Genomic DNA, 22,106 nt, shown 5'->3' with positions numbered 1-22,106 from the left:
AAACCCCATCACTACTAAAAATATAAAGAATTAGCTGGGAATGGTGGCAGAGGCCTGTATTCCCAGCTACTGGAGAGGCGGAGGCAGGAGAATTGCTTGAACTCGGGAGGCGGAGGTTGCAGTGAGCCAAGATAGCGCCACTGCACTCCAGCCTGAGTGGCTGTGCAAAACTCTGTCTCAAAAAAAAAAAAAAAAAAAAAAGAAAGAAAAAAAAGAAAATCACAAAAAGGCTTATTTGCAGGTAGAAAATACCAAGTATGCCACTCCTACCTACTTGCAGAAAGCATGGGTATTTAATCATCAATTTATTCTCTTAGTAAAAATTTAAGAAATTTGTTAGTGAATATATACACCTACTATGTAGCCATAAAAATTAAAAATTAAAAAAATTAAAAAAGAAATTTGTGAAAAGGACATAAGGGAAAGTAAAGAATAGCACCTTGCATCTCTGGCTCTATGTCACTTTCTTCTGTTTCAAGTAACTTCTTATTGAAAACGATTTGCTTAAGGCATTTTAAATCATTGTTATGTTAATGAGTAGTTCTTTTGTTTTTAGGCAGACTTTCCACTAAAGGTAAACCTGAGCCTTGCTTGCTCTGCAGTAACCTGAGCATGAAATCTGAGACATTACCCAATACTACCAACTTTCATAAAAGGGCTGTGGTCATTTCCTGTAATTATTAACTCATTCTATTCTCTAAATAGGAGAACTATAGACTTCTTTGTTGTTTGTGTTTGTGTCTTATTTTTGCCGTTGGGTTACCAATAATAACAACAAAAAGTTTCCTCCATTAACTGTAAGTATGCACACACATGCCTTCTAGTTCACTTTGCAGTTTTTGCTTCTTCATGAAACATATACAATACTGTGGAATCAGAATACCCTAGATTTATAGGGACAGGTGAAACTAAAATTAATTCTAGTTGAACCCCATATACTGTCAAAATATCCTCTAAGAAATCCTTGATAATGGGGCCTTCTTGTGTACTTAAGTACCCTGGTAATGAAGAGCTCATCACTCAGGAAGCCTGTTGCATCTCTGAGTACCTGTGAGTGTCAGAAAGTCTTTACAATGAGTTGGTATTTGTACCTTCACAGCTTTTCCCCAGAGATCCTTGCGTCCCTTCCTCAGATCCATCCAGCACAAGTCACCTACCTTGGTCTAAGTTTTGTCTTTACTGTTCTTAGTCAGTCTCCACTGAACACAGTTGAGGCTACGATCCTCTAAAAGTATGGGGTACTTACTCTTTCCTCTACAAGAATGGACCCTGCTTCTTTTGAAGAAGTGCTATCCTGCTTTTCATGAAAAATATGATAAATTTTTGAATTGACAATCACAATTACAAATAAATTAAACATTTTGAGATTACTTGTGACTAAATTCAATGTTCAGTATCTACTCTCATGCTACGTCAAATTTTCTCCATATTAAACTTATACATATTCAGGATTCAAGTCCACTTATAAGCTACTGGATCACAGTGAGATATTTCAAGGACAACACCAAGGGAAAAACTGAGAAAAAAAAAAAGGAAATAACATAAATTCCAACATTAAACAAGATAAAATCTGATACACTTTTGGGAGGATTAAATCTTATTACAAATCTAGGGGCACAATAAATTTTAATAATTATAACAAATTTATTTTACTTTTGTAAAAGAAAGTATTTTCTTCTTTTTACGAAGCAAATATCATTTCTCCTTCAAAGGCTGTCCCAAGAATCACATTTGGTGCAGTCTCAGTGTTAAAAAAAAGTTTGGGGGGCCTGGTGTGGTGGCTCACTCCTGTAATCTCAGCAGTTTGGGAGGCAGAGGCCGGTGGATCATTTGAGGTCAGGAGTTTGAGACTAGCCTGGCCAACATGGTAAAATCCCGTCTCTACTAAAAATACAAAAATTAGCCAGGTGTCATGGTGGGCGCCTGTAATCCCAGCTACTTGGGAGGCTGAGGCAGGAGTATTGCTTGAACACAGGAGGCAGAGGTTGCAGTGAGCTGAAATTGTGCCACTGTACCCGAGCCTCGGCAACAGAGCAAGATTCTGTCTCAAAAAATAAATAAATAAATAAAAACAAAAACAAAAAAAAAGTTGAATAGAAAAATGGCTTTTCATCTATTTAAAATTTATCTCATCTATAGTAATTTTAAGTATTATGTTAATTAGAATACAAATGTAGTAATTAGCTGAAAGTAGAAAGTATAGACATAGAATAATTCTGACCCTATATTCACTTACTATGTGATGTAAGACAGGATGTATGAATTTTGCATTAAAATTTACTTTGTTTCTATTAAGGAAGTTTTTATAAAGGGATTACCACAAGATCATATAGTAAAATAATCTTAATCCATTTTCAAACTAAAAATACCATTGATTGTTCACTTCTAATAAAATAACAAAAAGCACGATTACTACCATCATTTATAATACATTCTTTACATTCATACTCTCTAGATTGTTAATGTTTTTGGTCTCTGAAAATTTTACATTTTAATTTTCTTACAATCACAAATAACTCTAGTATTAGTTATAAACCAGAATATGCCGTAATAATAAACTAATTTAGTTTAGTTGTTTGGTATGTTTGCTAGAAAAGAATACACTAAAAGGAATTGGTGGAAAAGATAATCTTGTAATTGAATGAATTAATTTTTACTGTGAAGCACTAATTATTGCTAAAATTAAAGTTTTTATTATTTGTTTTCACAATAGAAAGGCTTAAGTATTTATTTTAACGCAGAACAATTAACCAATGTCACAAGGAAGAAATTATTCAACAGTTGGTACTGTCAGTAGAGTAGTCTCTTCAAGAGGTAACAGAAGAAAAGAATCAGAATACTTAAGACATATGTCCTTAAAATGTCATAATTCAGGCTTACAAATGCCCAAGTGAATTGTAGCTTTGCAGATTTTCATTTATTTATCCATCTGATTCTTTCATCTATTAAGAATCTTTCTGTGGTATCTATCTATCTATCTATCTATCTATCTATCTATCTATCTATCCATCCACCTATCCACCCATCCATCCATCTATCCATCTATGGATTTTCATGGTCTTATGTAGCATTGAAATAATTAGGGAATTAATTAGTAAAAAGAAATTACAGCAAATTAGTATAAGATATTTTATTCAGTATTTTCAGTAATTCTCCCCAATGAAGGGAAGAAATTATTTCATTAAATTAGAAACACTATTATAGTTTCAGGAATTTAAATGAAAATGTGTTACTTAGAAGAGTAAATTAAGGATGTCATTTATAAAAGAAATCTTATTTTGATGATTACATATACAAGGCAATTGCCATGCACTTGAGCTGATGTCTCAAAAACATTCAGTGATGTTCATGAATAAAAATTCTAGCATCTTAGAACAGAAATTGAGAAAAGAAAACCACTGACATACATAGAGTGTCTCTTTTTTTCAAGTGACCCAATTTCACCTATTTTTCTCTGCATTTCACTATATTTCTGGAAAGCTGTCATCTACTAATATAGCTTCTTTAATGAGAGCTATGTCAAACCATGTCAGATGTGTTTTGCCTTATCTTTCTTTCCTTGCAGCAGGCCATAAAAAAATGAATACCATCTTTTTCTTCGGCTAAGAAATATAAATAAAAAGTATTTTATTTCAATGAATCATTTTTTCCCCTTGAGTTTTCTTTAAAACTGAAGTAAGACTAAGAAATACCTGAAGAGCAAAACTCAGTTATTAAAAATATGTGACTTCAAGACAAAAAAAGATTTGTGGTTCTATGAAGTGATTTCTCTATGAACTACATAGGTTTGTCCACAGATCGCGTCTTCCTAACTCCCCAAGTGCAATCCATCCAGCAGCTGCAAAGCAAGATGCCAAACTCTTAGCAAATGCTTTTTTCTTCCCAGCAGTCTTTGAATTCTTGCCTGGCTCCTTCTTCTGGCTTGTTTCCTGGTGGTACTATTAGTTGCCAGGAAAAGTTGAGGGCCACAGCTGCCTGTGTTTCTTTAATCATATTCTCCACAGGTTCTTGTGATCCAGAAATATTTCTTGGGATGGGGAATCCCCTTGAGTGGCAAAAAAGCTTAAAAGACTCTTGCTATGATGCTGTGTAGCTTCTCAGGCTATAGGGCCGGGGTGAGGAATTCTAGTTTGATGTCTTGGCTCTGTAACCGGGTGCCATAGGATCCAAACAAATTGTTTCACCATCCTGAGTATTTCTACCTTGGACTTGACTCCAACAAAGGGGTAGAAAGGATACTGCCCACTCAGGTTTCAGGAACAGAGGTCTTATCTCTGCTGGTTTAAACTTATCTGGATTTTATAACATCTACAACCATACAGCTGGGGTTGTATAGCTACAAGAGTGATATGAATCACCTTTTGAAACGTTAATATTGGTTGAAGATTGTGTGGAATCATTTTTTATATCAAACATGTGTCTGTATTAAAGAGAATAATACGAAACTCATATAAATTTTTAAGATAAAACATGAGTCCTCAAGGAAATTTACTTGTGCTAGATAACTGGAGAATTCATCTACTTATTTTGGAAAAGTTACAGAATCCCTAGGTTGCACACAGGCTGAAGTTTCTTTTTGCTTTGGTATCCTGATTTTGCTGATAGAAAATACAAAGTACTCCCAGTAAAGGCAGATATTTTGATGCCCTGGAAATAATAAGAATTTAAAAAGCGTGGTATGAACAATGACTGGTATTTAGACATTTATGTCCAGATTTTATTATGGAAATAACTTATAACTTCTAATTTAGGCACACTTTAAGAATGGTGAGAGTGTTTCCCCATCAAGAAAACAAATTATTATTATTATTATTATTATTATTATTATCATTTTGAGACAGAATCTCACTCTGTTGCTCAGGCTGGAGTGCAGTGGCGTGATCTTGGCTCACTGCAACCTCCTTCTCCCAGGTTCAAGTGATTCTCCTGCCTCAGTCTCCTGAGTAGCAGGGATTACAGGTGCACACTACCATGCCCATCTAATTTTTGTATTTTTAGTAGAGGTGGGGTTTCACCATGTTGGCCAGGCTGGTCTCAAACTCCTGATTTCAAAGGACCCTCCCGTCTCGGTCTCCCAATGTTCTGGGATTACAGGCATGAGCCACCGCACCTGGCCTAGGAAAATAAACTGTTTTGGAGAGCAGTCTTTTTTTATTTATTTACTTTATTTAATTTTTTTTAACTAATCTGTATCTAGAGCTCCATAAAAAGTTCTATGATAAAATAAGGATAATGATGATAATAATAAGGATGCCACTTATTATCAAGTTGAACCCTCCACCTCCTGAGCTCAAGCGATCAAAAAAGGTAACATTGCTCAAGCAATTAAAAAAGGCAACATTTTATCAAATATTTTATGGTGACTGCCTCTTTTGTAAAACTAATCATTCAACGTGAAATCCACACCTAACTTAGAATGTGTTTATCATCTGTCTCCACCCACTGGAATGTAAGCTCCCTGAAGGAAAGGATGATCTTGTTCATTTTGTTTACCAATGTATCTTGGGGACTTGGTGCATAATAGAAGCTCAACAAATATTAAACACATGAATGAGTGACTGGTCAACTTATCCAGCCTTCTGCCTCCTCATAAGCTCCTCCTTTCCCTCTTGCTAAAAACCAGTTGATTTCCTACTTTTAAAAAATATGGAACCAACTTTTCTTTCTAATTCTTTGTCTCTGCAAAGTCTTCTCTACAAACCAGCATCATCCAATAGAAATATAATGTGAACCAAATACATAATTTTAAAAGTGTCTAGTGTCCATTTAAGAAGTAAACATGAATAAAATTAATTGTAATAAAATTTATTTAATCCAGCATATCCAAGATACTATCATTTCAACATGTAATTATACAGAAATTATTGATGAGATATTGACATTATTTTTTGTACTCAGATTTCAAAATCCAGTGTATGTTTTACATATAACTTGTTCTAGACTAGTCAGATTTTAAGAGCTCAGAAGTCCATATAGGCAGCAGCCACATATTGACAGCACAGGTCTATACTCTGTATTTCTCCAATCCTTAAGGTAGGAATTATAACCACTATTTACAGGCAAACTCCATTGCCCTTGCACGATATCAGTCCCCTCCTGAAATACAAGGGCCATTGTTCCTATAATTTTTGCTTCTTCTGATTTCATTTTAAATTAATCATTTGAACTGACTCCTTTCTCTCTGAGGACATTTCAAAGCTTTGCAGCATAAATGGCAGGATTAGGTACTCTTAGTTTTTACTTTTTTTTTTTTAACCCTCCAATATTTTACTCATAGAATCTATTTTCCAAGGCTATAATCATTTTTATCATGAGGTTCTTATCAATTTCTCTTCATTTTTATGTGAACAGAGCAATCAAAACTGTACATGAGTGTCCAAATACTAGCAATTATTTATGTATACTAAGAAAAATTAAGGACAATGTTCAACATTAATACTTTCAGCAAGATGGCTAGTCTAAACTATTTCGTTATAGTCCAAATAGAATCCTTTCATAGGAATGTTGATTTTGTATGATTATCACTTTGTAATATTATTTTCTTGACCTTCAGTTAGATTACATTTTATGTATTTTATTTAAAAATCTTGAATAGTGATATGTGTAGAATACCACTCAAGAGTGTAAACATTTATCTCCGTGACCTATGTTCATGAAACAATAAAATATATTACAAGTCACAAAATTTATGCCTAGCAATGTTGAACAATCATTAAATTTAATGTAGAACCTAGATATATTGACCCTTCCAAAAAGATACTAGTTTCATCAAGATCTTTTAAAAATTAAGGAATTCATGCTTACTTAAATATGTATTCTCTGCTATTTTGTTTCAAGATAATAAATTTCATTTTTTTAAAAAAACTTAAAGCATATGTAGACATTCTTGTACATAATGTGATAGATTTTCACCAAAATCAGACAACCTTTAGAAAATTACTGTGAAAAGCTAGACACATAACTTGAAATGCAAGCCAGTCAGTTGAAGAAACTGCCCAGTCTAAGATCTGAGAATGATGGAGCAATATAGAAGATAAGTTAATAAAAAAAATAGGCTATTCTGCTTGACTGAATAGAAATGGAATGTTTTAGGAGAATGGAACTCTTGTACCTAATCTTGTATAAGAAGACATGGGATGTATACAGTTAATTCACTTGTTTATGGAGTGATGATTTGCTTAATTATCTCATTTCCTTTTTACAGTAAGAAATCTAAAAGCTAAAGCCCATGTAAGTATTTTATATAAGGAAGAGTGTTGGTGTCCACAAAATGTATAATAACTGGTGTATATTTTCTGCAAGAAAAAAATACACAGATAACAGCCACTGACATTATCATCACTAAAAATAGACAACAATAGCAACAGCTACATGAATTGGTGTCATGCTTTTGGCAATATTTACTAAGTTCTTTTATACCATTCATTTCTTTCCTTTGATTCTACTTCTGGAAATCTGTTCCAAGGACATAATGTATGTCCTTGCATGTATATCAGCCTGCATTTCTACATACAGCATATGAAGAAAAACTCTTTATACATACAGAGGCAGCACAGCCTGGTGGTTATGGGCATAGTCTCTGGAGTTGGAGAGCCTGGGCTTAAATCCTGACTCCACTACTGACCAAATGCGTGATGTTGAGAACTTACTTAAGGCCCGTGCTTCAGCCTCCTCGTCTATGAGATGAAGATAATCTTTGTAACACACACAGTCTTCATGAGGATTAAATGAGGTAATAAGTGTCAATCACTTTATTAGTGAATTTGATAAATGTTGGCTGTTACTATTAATATGTTTATAATGGGGAAGATTAAAAATAAGAAAAAGTAGGAAGAGCACCATTGCTCTGCAATAGGAGACTGGGTGCATGAGCTCTGATATATACACTCAAGGATAGAGTCATGAATTTTTTTTTTTTTTTTTTTTTGAAACAGGATCTCACTCGATTGCCCAGGCTGCGACCAGTGCAGTGGTGTGATCTTGGCTCACTACAACCTCCACCTCCCAGGTTCAAATGATTTTCCTGCCTCAGCCTCCCGAGTACCTGGGATTACAGGCACGTACCACCATGCCTGGCTAATTTTTGTATTTTTAGTAGAGATGGGGTTTCACCATGTTGGTCAAACTGGTCTCGAACTCCGGACCTCAAGTGATCTGCCCGCCTTGGCCTCCCAAAGTGCTGGGATTAGAGGCGTGAGCCACCGCTCCCGGCCTAGCATCATTCAATTTCACCATATTATATACGCTGTTTAGCACAGGAACTAACTCATACAAGTGTTTAGTGAAGCCTGGATTTCACTGTGAAATACTCAAGATATCCATTGGGTTACATTTTAATATAATTGAAACTGGGACATATCTTGCAGTCAAGGGTGTGTTAGAGTTTAATTGGAAGCGTGTGATGCATCTCACATTTGATGCACTCTGTGCTCAACAGAATAATGGCCTCCCAAAGATGTCCATGTCCTAATCTCCAAAAGGTGTCAATGTTACCTTACACGGTAAAAAGGAACTTTGCAGATGTGGTTCAGTTAAGGACCTTGAGATGCAGAGAGTATCCTAGATTACCCAGGTGAGCCCAATGTAGTCACAAGGGGGCCTTACAAAAAGGAGGCTGGAGGGTCAACGTTAGTGGTAGGAGATGTGACGGTGGGAACAGAAGTTGGAATGATATGAGAAGAAACCATGAGCCAAGGAACACATGCGGCATGTGGAAGCTGAAAATGGCAAGGAAACGATTATCCCCTGAAGCCTCCCGAAGGAACCAGCCCTGTCCATATCCTGATTTTAGCACTTCTGACTTCCAGAGCTGTAAGACAAGTGTGTGTTATTTTAAGTAACTAGGTTTGTGGCAATTTGTTACAACAGCAGTAGAAAACTAACACACAGTCTTCATCTGAATGAAAAGAGGTCCTTTTTGACTTCTAGGCACATGTTAGGCTCTCAGTGCATTCCGAGTTACCACTTGACTGCATAAGAGGCAGTCAATATAAAGCTATTGAATGAATGTTGAATAGAATAGAATACAAACATTAAAATGATGTTTACAAAGCCATCATAATAAAACAGAAAAATGTTCTTTAAAAAAGAATACCTATTTGTATTACAGTGAAATCACCACTGTGTTAAATGGGCAAACATCAAATTATGTACATAAAAATTCCAGAAGAAAATAAATTAAACTATTAATAGTCATCATTTCTGCATGCTGGAACTATAAATGGCGTTTCTTCTTCCTTTTACATTTCTGCATTGTCTCAATTTCCTACAAAGAATGGTATCACTTTCATAAAAGAAGAAAGCACATCAATTTCACTTCAAAAGTAGATAGGAATATAATATGGAACATAAAAGGCAAGAAAAGAATGTTGTTATATTCAGTTCCCTCATTTATGCAACAACAATTCTAATGTAGCTAATAATTCAAAAATCTTAAATCCACGCGTCTGCATATCACAAACCATGGTCATTGTGGATCTGTTTTGATTTTGTAAACAGTGGTCAGTTTTAATAATAGTAAATTTATGATTATCACCTCCAAAAATCAGCTGCTTACCAGCCACTGTGAGCCGCATGACCCCAGCAGCATGTCAGATAGGTAGTGATTTAAGCAGACTCTGGCAACTGACTCCACAGGAAGGAAAAAAAGCCAAGCGGAGAAAAGCTGGGAGACCTGCTGAATGAATCTGCTTCACTTACATGTGAAAAGAAGAAAGAGTTATTCTTAGAACTATGACTCTTTGACCTTGGATAAGTCATTCCACTCTTCTGAGCCTCACTCAGTCTCTCCTTTTGTGTTAGGAGAGTATAGAACTAAATTATCTCTAAGATTCCATCTAGCTCTAATATTCTATAAATACATGTGTACGTATACACATGTAAACACTCCACACCTATGGACATACAGGCTCTGAGACATAAGACAATGAGACTAATACTCAAAACAATATTCCACTATTTTGCAGTCATACAGGGGTTCCTTTGAACCAGCTTTAACTAGATCTTTCATACTATGCAATTTGCTGCTAATACCATCACCATCAGATATTTCAGTGTCTTCTTTTTCACCATGTCAGAAAATAAACTGCACAGTTTGAAAAGGCTTAAACGTGTGAGGGGTTACGGCAGTAGCAGCAGCCTGAGGTCTGGCTAGTCCCTGAGGCTTTCTAGCTTGTCACTCAGCAGCTCTTTGAAGAATGCATTTGTAACTTTGAGAAGGTTGTCTACTTTCTTCCAAGAAAACGAAGCACATTAACAGAACTTAATAACAGATTTCCAATTCAAGGCAATGCGTGATAATATCTCAATTACTGATATCAAATGAAGATGCCATTTCTGAAATACATTTTATATGAAATTTCACTGGAAGTCTGAAATGTCCTAGGATATTTATTATGAACGTTTTTCCAGGAAATATTGGCAGAATCCCTATTTTTCAAAGGAAATGTAAGTGATTTAATCCAAATCTTAAGGCACTTACAAGTCTTGCAGGGCAGAATAAATCATGCGCATACTGGACTCTAATGCAAAACAGAAAGATGAATGCCAGAGAAAGGTAGGGGTGTATCCCTGCAGATAGAGTTTCAGAAGAGAAAGAGATTATACCCAGCTGCCGAGGCAGGAAGATGGTCTAGAGAAGCTTATGGGGTACACAGTATCAAAGGCCTTTTGGCTCCTAAATTCAAGAACTAATATGGGAAGGGAGGAAATTTTTTTTTTTCCTAGACCAGGCCTCACTCTATTACCCAGGCTAGAATGCAGTGGCACAGTCACTGTTCCCTGCAGCTTTGATTTCCTGGGCTCAAGCAATCCTACCATTTCAGCCTCCCAAGTAGCTTGGACTACAGGCATGTGCCACCATGCCCCATTCATTTTTTTCTTTTTTTCTTTTTTTTTTTTTTTGTAGAGATGAAGTTTCACCATGTTGCCCAGGCTGGTCCCAAACTCCTGGGCTCAAGCAATCTGTCTGCCTCAGCTTCCCAAAGTGCTGGGATTACAGATGTGAGTCACCATACCTCACCAGGAGGAATTTTTGATGGAGGAACTAGAATGAGCAATGTCTTTGTGACATGGAGAATTTGGGCTGTGTACAGAGACAAAGCATGAAATTTGACAGAAGTGCCAACTCCAGATTAGGGAGCCAAGGGAATAAAGATTGAAATGACACATAAGATTGAGAGTGCCAAGGCCTTGAGCCCCCACAGAAGGAAAAGGAGACGGCACTTTCTTCTACAGACAGTTGTGAGCTATCAAGGACATTTAAGCAATTGTTTGATTTGCATTTATTCACCCCTCCCCATTATAAGTGGCATAGGTAATTTTAACTCCATAGTTTAAAAGTCATTAAAAAAAAGGCATTATAATTTCTCGCTCAACAAGTGAACATAATTCCAAGCAACCTTTCCATGTGTCATACAATGAATAATTCTAATTACATGTTTGAAATTCTGCAAGAGAAGATTTCTTTTATTGCTTTAGTATTTCTAGTTCTATCTGGTGTTGGAAGAGGAGTGGTTCCATTTAGATGTTAGAGTCAAAGGTGCACATGTGGCCAGGCACGATGGCTCACACCTGTAATCCCGGCACTTTGGGAGGCCAAGGCGGGAGGATCACTTGTGGTCAGGAGTTTGAGACCAGTCTGGCCAACATGGCAAAGCCCCATCTCTACTAAAAATACAAAAATTAGCTGGGTGTGGTAGTGTTTGCCTCTAGTCCAAGCTGCTCAGGAGGCTGATGCACAAAAATTGCTTGAACCCGGAAGGCAGAGGTTGCAGTGAGCCGAGATCGCACCACGGCATTGCAGCCTGGGTGACAGAATGAGACTGTCAAGAAACAAACAAACAAAAAAAACCTGCATATGCATGGGGCCCAGGAAACCCAACCTTCTGGAGGACAGAGGTGACTTCGTCACACAGACACACAGACTGTATCCACTGGTCTCCAGGCTTGCTGGTTTCAGCCTTTTAGACCCCAGGGCTTAGCCATGGCTCCTTATGCACAGCCCCTTGTCTTCCCACCTGTTTGCTCCTTGGCATTGGCACTAAACCTACATTCCGTACATGAAGACATAACACTTATTCAGCATGGTGTTCTCATTGTGTGTCTGAGTGTGTGGATATGCGTCTCTCTGCATTTATATATAAATGTACAAGTGTACATACATTATGCAAAATGGCAACAGCACATACCATTTTTTATTTTTACATCTGTCATTTTGTGGTGAAAACCATATTTTTTCCAAACGGTTTGTGAGCATTTTGAGAAGAGGCCCATCATATTGTATCATGCATACAGCCAATACTCAATTAGCATTTACTGAGCAATTAACTTAAGCTAAGTCTTCAGCCCCCCAGATACGTAGTATTTCCTCCTAGAACAAGGAGAACAGCTGGTTAACATACTTGGTATAAAAGGACCAAAAACTATGGTTCCCATTTTCTTTTAGATCTTAGAAAGACAAGATAGTTTATGTCTTTAAAAGCTCCTGAGATAAGGTAACTGAATCCATCATCTGAAAGCAATCTATCAATATGTACGTGAGTGCATGGGGGACAACATCCATGTGTGTGAAATCAGAAAGCTTGAACTGAAAAATGGAGAAGCCATGTGGTAAATATTAAATCCAGGTGGTGTTAGCAAACGGATACAGTTCATCAACTGGCGTGGTTTTCATGTGTTAAACTCAACACTTACCTCAATAAAGAAGATGCTGGCTGCTGATGTTGGGTGGTGATACATATAGACTGTCACAAGAATGGCTGTGGCTACAATGAGGACCAGGATGAGGATTCCAATGATGAGGCCAGCGTGGAGGGTTCCCCCTTTCTTCTCAGCTGCACTGTCATCTGTAGAAGCTGAAAGAACATCCCAGCTGTCAGGACCTTCATGAGTTTACCCTCAAGTTTGCATTTTCATCTGAGGAGATATTTGTGTTTTTAATAAAGTACGACTGGATCTTTACTTCCTGGACAACTTTTCTGCAACATCAATTTTACAGGTGACGTGCTCTTCATATGGGCAATGAAGAATCCATAGGATTCATGAGTAAAAATACATTTATCACTGTGTTTTATTTTTATTTTTTGAAATGGAATTTTGCTCTTGTTGCCCAGGCTAGAGTGCAAAGGCATGATCTTGGCTCACTGCAACCTCTGCCTCCTGGGTTCAAGCGATTCTCCTGCCTCAGCCTCCTGAGTAGCTGGGATTACAGGTGTGAGTCACCACACCCGGCTAATTTTGTATGTTTAGTGGAGATGGGATTTCACCATGTTGGTCAGGCTGGTCTCGAAATCCTGATTCAGGTGATCCGCCTGCCTCAGCCTCCCAAAGTGCTGGGATTACAGGCGTGAGCCACCGCACCTGGCCTGTGTTTTAAAATTTCTAGTTTGATAAGCAAAATGAATAGCTTTTATTCTCAAAGTACTGTGGGAAACCTCAAACTCTAATTAACTACACACTAAATTTAACTTTGATTTTTCTCATTAAACCACCAAAGTTACCTATGGAAAAGCTGATTAATTTTGAAAGCTCCTCTCATTTTCTTTTGGAAATTTTAAATTAAAGAGTATCGGACATCTTTTGATAAGCTCTATAGGCATTTTCAGAAAGTCTGTGCATGAACTCCAAGCATAATTTGTGAAAAATCTGTTTTAAACAAAAATACTTTTTAAAAGTGTAACAGATGGATGCTTAATGACCCTCAAATAGTTTTGATCACTAAGAGGAGCGCCACAGCAAAGGAAAACTTTCCACTACACCCCAGAACAATATAATTTCCTCTAACTTTTACTGAGATGCTTTCCACTGTAATACACATTTTCTGAATTAGCAAAGGGAGGAATTAAATTTATAAAGTAATAACTATCCTAACCAAAGCCAACCAGCCAAATACAACTAATCTCTAAAGTCTTCTCTTTTTCTAAAATTCTGTAATCACTGATGATTACTCAGGCATTTAGAGATCTTCCTGAATTATGTGCAGTATAATTGTAAGATACAGTAAGTTGTATCTTAAGTGCACCATATGACTGGTATTCTGAATCATGACATAATTTTTTAAGATGTACAAAAGTTTCAGAACAGTGGTTCTCAATCCTTTCTTTTCTTTTTTTTTTCTTTCTTTGTTTTTTCTTTGAGATGGGAATCTCGCTCTGTCGTCCAGGCCCAGGCTGGAGTGCAGTGGTGTGATCTCGGCTCACTGCAACCTCCACCTCCCAGGCTCAAGCAATTCTCCTGCCTCAGCCTCCCAAGTAGCTGGGATTACAGGCGCTTGCCACTACACCTGGCTAATTTTTGCATTTTTAGTAGAGATGGGGTTAAACCATGTTGGCCAGTCTGGTCTTGAATACCTGACCTCAAGTGATTCACCCACCTCGGCCTCCCAAAGTACTGGGATTACAGGCGTGAGCCTTTGCACCCGGCCTCAATAATTTCATGACCAATTTACCTCTTCGTTATTTTTACCATTTGCCTCTATGTTATAAGCTTTTTTTGTCTATTAAACTTCATTTAATAAGCACTGATTTCTTTCTTTTATTTTACCTTTTTTTAAAGAAAAACCAAATATGGATGTCTATCACAATGTGTGGTCCACATGAACTGACGGAATTCCAGATAAAGTGGAGAAATATGACCTCCTAATTCTTTCCACCTCCCCTCTACGTTTTTATTGCTGTTGTTTACTCTTTGCTTGAGAACCATTGTTGGTGTTCAGTTATCCTTCTCCAAATCTAGTAAGGCTGAAAATTCTAAAGATTTCCCTTATGTAACAGAAATTAATTAGTGAAAGAAGATCAAATTTAGAGTAATTCATTATATAATAGTTCATTTATACTGTGTCAGGGATAGTTGTATTACTTTGCAAGTACCAAACCAACAACCCTAAGAGGTAGGCACTATTATTATTTCTGTTTTATAGGTAAGGAAATTGAGGCACAGGATAATTAAAAAATGAGCTAGGGTTGCAAAATTATTAAGGTAGAACTGAGCTCACACACCAGCAGTCTGGCCTCCAAGTCTGAATTCTGGACCTCTGATCAATACCTCCTCAATGAACACTGGGCTGTAGGTCCTGCTATTTCCTCTTATTTCATGTTGTGAGTTCTTCTAGGAAATAATTCTGAAAAGAATCTGGTAATTTCAAGCAAAGAAAAACTAATGTAAAAAACAGTTAAAGAATTAACATTGGAGCCAGGCGTGGTGGCTCATGCCCGTAATCCCAGCACGTTGGGAGGCCAAGGCAGGTGGATCACCTGAGGTCAGGAGTTTGAGACCAGCCCGGCCAACATGGCAGAAACCCTGTCTCTACTAAAAATACAAAAAATTAGCCAGGCTTGGTGGCGGGCGCCTATAATCGCAGCTACTCAGGAGGCTGAGACAGGAGAATTGCTTGAACCTGAAGGCAGGGGTTGCAGGGAGCCGAGATCCTGCCACTGCACTCCAGCCTGGGCGACAGAGCGAGACTCCACCTCATAAAAAAGGATTAACATTGCACCTCCAAGATGACAGAGGCTATGTCTTTGGGCTGGGTCTTAGGTCAGTATCTGCCATCATAAACATTTTCATCCATATTTGGTGAGAAGGGAGGAGGAAAAGAGAGGAAGGAAAAAGATAAAAATAAAGGCTTTTGGAAATAGGTTACAGTATTAGAATGACCACATTGCCAATAAAAATCAAATGAGGCTATAATAAATGACCTCATCTGTCTGGTCTTCAGTTAACCTTATCTCCAAAACGCAGTCAATAACAGTAATTACCCCATAGGGTTGATGTGAGAATTCCACATTTAATACATATAAAGTTCTTAGGAGAGTACCTGACTCATAATAAGCACTTAATGAATATTGAGATATTATGTTATTATCATACTTTTTATATGAGGCAGGTTGAGACAAATTACACAGTCAGATTCACAACAATATATAAACTATGTTTTTGCCCTTAAAATGTGTTGCTTTTAAAACTTTGGCCTCATTCTTATGTATGCTTATATTATCGCATCTTGTGGACTTGTCTATTTTCTTATTTTTATAAGAGTATGACACAGTGCTCTCCTGGGAAAATAGGATTAATTGAAAATGTGGCTTTAGGGAAAATGTAGCAAAAATAGTAGATATTTTTGAGTCAAAAATGAAGACTTGACTGTTTCTTCAAATCCTTCCCTCCCTCTTCCACTCGTCTTTCCATCCCTCCATCCCTCTCTTTCTTGCTGTTTCTTATCCTCCCTTTCTCCATCCATCCATCCATCCATCCATGCATCCATCTATCCACCCATCCAGTGTCTGATTCTATTTCTGGGGTTTGTCTTTGGGATGGGTTTTAGGTCAGTATCTGCCATCATAAACAGTCCTTTATACACAGCATGCCAAGTTTTAGCCTCACAAATTTCCGCCTCACTTCTTCTTCTTTTTATTTTTTATTTTTGAGACAGGATCTTGCTGTCACTCAGGCTGGAGTGCTGTGGTGTGATCTTGACTCACTGCAGCTTCGAACTCCTGGGCTCAAGTGATCCTCCTGCTTTGGCCTCCCAAGTAGCTGAGGCTACAGGCATGTGCCACCATGCCTGGTTAATTTTTTTGTAGAGGCAGATTCTCACTATATTGCCCAGGCTCATTTTGAACTCCTGGGCTCAAGCATTCCTCCTGCCTCAGCCTCCCAAAGTGCTGGGATTACAGACATGTGCCATTGCACCTGGTTTAGCCTTACTTCTTTTGTGTATGCAGGAATGGAGAGGGAAGATTAAGGTATTTGTGAGTTGACCTCAGGTTGCTACTTCCCAAATGTGCTGGAGGACCAGAACTTGCTAAGGAGGCAGCTTTTCCCAGGAAGGAAAAAGAGGGCAAGGGTCATGTTTCACTTAATAAGAGTCCTTGTCAGAAATAAAATTAATTTTGTCCTGCAGGGCATAAGTTGCCAATGTTTGGAATATAACAACCATAACCAGATTTGCACCTTGAGTGTGGTAAACCTCGCTACCTTTATTTAGACATAAATACTTCTCTCCCAATTATTATTTATTCATACTTCCAATAATAATTTAGTGACATTATCTCCTTTTAAAAAATGTTCCTTTACATTTCTGCTTTAGATGTCAAGACACCATGGCCATATCTAATAACACAATTTGTACAGAGTCTAGTTTATTACTATCCAAATAACCATTTAATAACATTTTTGGATGACGATTATTTTAATAAAATAAACAGCTTTCATGGATTCTCAATACTAACCAGAAGACAAAATAAATATTTAGAGATCTATGAGTATGACATGACTTGATGTGTTCTAACAGAGCAAGTCATTTAAGGAAAAATGTAGCATACTCAACTCCAAAATATTACAAGACTTTCTTTGTGTCACATACCAATGACTATTTCAAAATGCTTTAGAGTGACCATCTGAATGGAGGGACCAAAATTGCACACATAGTTTTGGAGAAAGCATTTTTCTACTCTCATATTATTTAACCTTTTTTTTTTTTTTTTTTTTGGCTACTGCAATGATTCTACAATTTCCTACACAGTACAAGCATCTCTATTCCAGCTTCTTTCTATGGGCTTTAGATGAACGTATATTAGCAGGTATTATGACGGCTTAATTAGAGACTGTTAAATCTGAAGCTGCAGGGAGCACTTCATTGATATGCTTTGATTTTAAATTCTTTCACTAGTTGGTTTCCAGTTTAATATCATGCTTGATCAAATGGTACAGATTTTGCATATTTATGGAGATTTGCAGACAGAATTTAGAGTATCCTGGGTATATACTCAAAAGGATACAAATTATTCTACCAAAAAGACACATTATGTCCATTACAGCACTGTTTACAATAGCAAAGACATGGAATCAACCTAAATGCTCATCAACGGTAGATTGGATCAAGAAAATGTTGTCCATATACACCATAGAATTCTATGCAGCCACAGAAAAAGAATGAGATCCTATTCTTTGAAGGAAGCAACACGGAAAGAGGTGGAGGCCGTTGTCCTAAGCAAACTAACACAGGACCAGAAAGCCAAATACCCTATGTTCTCACTTGTAAGTGTGTGTTAAACATTGAATACATACGGACACAAAGAAGGGAACAACAGATACCAGAGCCTACTTGAGGATAGAGGGAGGCAGGAGGGTGAGGATTAAAAAACTACCTATTGGGTACTATGCTTATTACCTGGCTAATGAAATAATCTGTACAATAAACTCCCATGATAATTTACCTATAAAACAAACCTACACAGGTACCCCTGAACCTAAAATAAAAGTTAAAAAACATAGTCACCTCAAATGCAAAGCTGAAATTTAGAAAGTGTAAGTGCTTACTAATTCCCATAAATGAAGTTTAGTTCATTCACCTCTAGGGAAGACTGCTTGAGTATGCTCATTTCCCTCCTGCAGAAAATACAATAAACTAAGATGTCCATATGTGGCTCGACTGATTGTTCTTTTATATTGGCAGATAGAAGTATGTCAAAGAGAATTCTGAACTTGCTTCAGGGACAAACTTCTCAGTAAGCTTGATATGGTTTGGCTCTGTGTCCCCACCCAAATCTCTTCTTGAATTGTAATCCCCACGTGTTGAGAGAGGGACCTGGTGGGAGGTGATTGGATCATGGGTGTGGTTTCTCTTATGCTGTTCTTGTGATAGTGAGTCCCCATGAGATCTGATGGTTTGAAAGTGGCACTTCCCCTTCTTTCTCTTTCTGTCCTGCCGCCTTGTGAAGAAGGTGCTTGCTTTTCCTTCGCCTTCTGCCATGATTGTAGGTTTCCTGAGGCCTCCCCAGCCATGCAGAACTGTGAGTCAATTAAACCTCTTTTGTTTATAAATTACTCAATCTCAGGGACTTCTTGATAGCAGTGTGAAAATGGACTAATACAAAGCTCATCAGAGTCTAGTAGGCTTTAGGGGAATATTAAAGAAACGTGAGAAGGAATCTAGTCTTAAGACGTAAACTCTTCCTATATTCATGCAAACATCTTATGAGCTTTCACTCATGTCCAAAAGCAAACAAAAACTAAACAAGCATCTTTCTCACATACTTAGTAAAACGTAACACACAGAAGAATTCAAATCTTTAGTCTTTGTTAAGCCTTACCTTGTGTATTAAAATAACAGGGATTAATAAAGGGCAACAAGAAGCCATAAAATAGAGTCTCTCCAAGCCAAAAATGGAAATACAGGAATATACTTTAAAAATCTCCAAAGTAAAGGTCTTTTTTTGCCCTGTGCTTAAGACATTTTTAATATAAAATGAAGCAGAGAAAATCAATAGTATCCAAGATAATATACTCTAATCTGACCCAGTGAGTGTCATTGCTTTTCAACACTTTATGAAATGCAGATCAATATTTAGACACAGAGAAGACTGTAAGAACTGTCAATTCTATCAAAGCAATCTGCTATTTTTGGGAAAGTTTTAGCTACCATAAGAGCAAAGACATCATATATATATATATACACACATATATATATGTATGTATATGTGTATATATACACATATATATGTGTGTATATATATATATATACATATATATATATATTTTTTTTGAGATGGAGTCTTTCTCTGTTCTCACTCTCACCCAAGCTAGAGTGCAGTGGTGCGATCTCGGCTCACTGCAGCCTCTGCCTCCCGGATTCAGGTAATTCTCCTGCCTCAGCCTCCTGAGTAGCTGGGACTACAGGCATGGGCTGCCATGCCTGGCTAATTTTTGTGTTTTTAGTAGAGACGGGGTTTCACCCTGTTGGCCAGGCTGGTCTTGAACTCCTGACCTCAAGTGATACATGTGTTTCAGTCTCCTAAAGTGCTGGAATTACGGGTGTGAGCCACCGCACCTGGCCAAGAGAACATATTTTTAAAATACATTAAGTATATACTAGAAAATATTCAAGACCTCACCTCAGTGTGTTTAATTTGGAGAAGTCCATGAATCATGGAAAATAAAGAAGGAGGAAAGATGAAAGAAATAAGGAGGTAGAAAAAAAGAAGATAGGAGGAAGGAAGGAAGAAAATGCTATATATATATTTGTATATATATGTATATACATATATATATTTATTTATTTTGTCAAAGTGTAGCATTTAATTTTAAAACTCTATGTCTCCATGTTTCTATGACTGTTATTTTCCCTTAGGATTTACTTGCATATGGCATTGATATTCTGTATTTAGAAGTGTAATTCTCCAATATGGTAAAATATTTTAATGCATTGCCAAAATGATCTGTAGCTACTATTAAATCTTGCCAACAATTAAAGTCCAGAAATAAAGAAAAAACTAAAATAGAAATATTCTTTGTCTGAAATTTTATTCACTTTAGAACTAACTCTTCTCCTGGGCTTAAAATGAAACACTGCAGCCCATAAATTCCATAATATATTAATATCCTTTGGGGAACTGAGAGGCTGATGGGTTAGACAATGTCATGCACAAATTTGCTCAAAATTCATAAATCTTACACAGAAGATGCCAAAATGTGCTCTTTTAAAGCTTCAGAATAAAGTTAAACTATAAATGCTGAAAATGTTAGTGTTCCACTTTGGGATTAAAAATGCACACAGACATGAATTCCCCCATGGAACAGTACCTAACCCATTTACAAGCTAAAGCATGTAACAAAAGAAAATCAAATGAAAAAAGTTTTAAGTAAATTGTACTTCCCTTTGTAAGTTTCCCTTGCAACTGATCAGTCTCATTTTGTAGCTCATTTATTTTCTCTCTTACCTCTTTAACTTTCTATATACATAATCATGACCTTGACTTCATTCAGAGTTTCTTTGGGTGTTTTATGTCTTTTGTAATTTTTCATAATCCTCTTAGTTCTTTCATTTTCTTAATCACAGTGATACTATTTTTTTTAAAATGCTTACCGGCCTGTCAATATTATTCCAGTATTGGAGTGGATTGAAACTATTATACAAGGTGTACCTAATTCACATTAGCTATTACTGTGACAATACATTCACAATTCATGTTAAGACACTGTGTAGAAGGGATTAGGGTAATCACTGTGAAAAGATATAAAAGCCGGTGCACAAAACACATCTAAGGACATTATGTATGGTGAGACCAATATCTGGCAAGGGCAGCTTTCCTTTTACAGTCTGTCCTACTATCGGGCAGCTGTGAAATTTATTCAGGGAAATATATAAAATGTTCTGGGCTGGAAGATCTTACAGGATGACTATCCTTTAAAAAAAAAAAACAACAACTCATAATCCCTTACCTTTTATCTTAGAAAAATAAAGCTGAATAAAATTTCTATGAAATAATATTAAAAGGAATACTTAATTCTATCAAAATGAGGGATTTGGGATAACAATCACCAAATGATAGGCTGATTCTAGTCTCATTCAATGATCGGTGCTTTTAGGCATGTGTATGTGCAGATATCTTAAAGGGAAAGTTTTAAGAGATCAAGGCTGCAGTGAGCTTTGATCCTACTACCACACTCCAGCCTGGGTGACAGAGCAAGACCCTGTCTTTAAGAAAAAAATTGAAAAAAGAGAAGGTTTATGGTATTTATATATAGTACAAATAAGACCAAAAATAAATATTTGGAAAACCCATTATCATTTTTCACTTCTTATGTGTATATGTGCTCTTCTTTGTAACAATCTGCCTACGCATATGTTTTCAGCAGTCAAGATCTTTATGACATCTAACTTTTAAACTTTTCCTAACATCAGCTTTCTATATCAAGTTATCATTTTTCCCTATTTAAAATATATCTTAAAATTATTGTTATTATTATTAATTTTTAGACGGAGTCTCGCTCTGTGGCCCAGGCTGGAGTGCAGTGGTGTGATCTCGGCTCACTGCAACCTCCACCTCCTGGGTTCAAGCGATTCTCCTGCCTCAGCCTCCCAAGTAGCTGGGACTTTATGCACACACCACCATTCCTGGCTAACTTTTTTTGTACTTTTAGTAGAGACGGGCTTTCACTATGTTGGCCAGGCTGGTCTCGAACTCTTGACCTTAGGTGATCCACCTGCCTCAGCCTCCCAAAGTGCTGGAATTACAGGTGTGAGTCGCTGAGCTCAGCCAGAAATTATTTTTGAAAAATAAAAATAAAATGTGTCTCGGCTTCTACCAAAGAATCCACAGGGAAAA

The 22,106-nt window shown here is 36.9% G+C and overlaps 1 protein-coding gene across 3 annotated transcripts in view, besides 1 other annotated feature; it reads right to left on the bottom strand.

Moving 5' to 3' along the window:
* PLXDC2 (plexin domain containing 2) overlaps window positions 1–22,106 on the bottom strand; it is a 473,425-nt gene that overhangs the window by 31,658 nt on the left and 419,661 nt on the right. For 2 of the 3 annotated variants that reach the window (NM_032812.9, NM_001282736.2), the window contains one exon: window positions 12,694–12,854. In NM_032812.9, the coding sequence (NP_116201.7) occupies window positions 12,694–12,854 (161 nt within the window). Of the gene's footprint in view, window positions 1–5,789; window positions 8,810–12,693; window positions 12,855–22,106 lie in introns of those variants that run through there. The other variant, XM_011519750.3, reaches the window with a different exon arrangement.
* Window positions 260–787: an enhancer, noted in NCBI's record as "OCT4-NANOG hESC enhancer chr10:20546341-20546868 (GRCh37/hg19 assembly coordinates)". NCBI's record gives its function as "activates a minimal SCP1, AML or CMV promoter by ChIP-STARR-seq in naive H9 embryonic stem cells {active_cell/tissue: H9 hESC(naive)}" and the evidence as "EXISTENCE:reporter gene assay evidence [ECO:0000049][PMID:30033119]".

Source organism: Homo sapiens, chromosome 10 (genome assembly GCF_000001405.40).
Source record: "Homo sapiens chromosome 10, GRCh38.p14 Primary Assembly".
NCBI classification, from domain to species: domain Eukaryota; kingdom Metazoa; phylum Chordata; class Mammalia; order Primates; family Hominidae; genus Homo; species Homo sapiens.
This window is presented reverse-complemented; position numbering and strand designations above follow the sequence as displayed.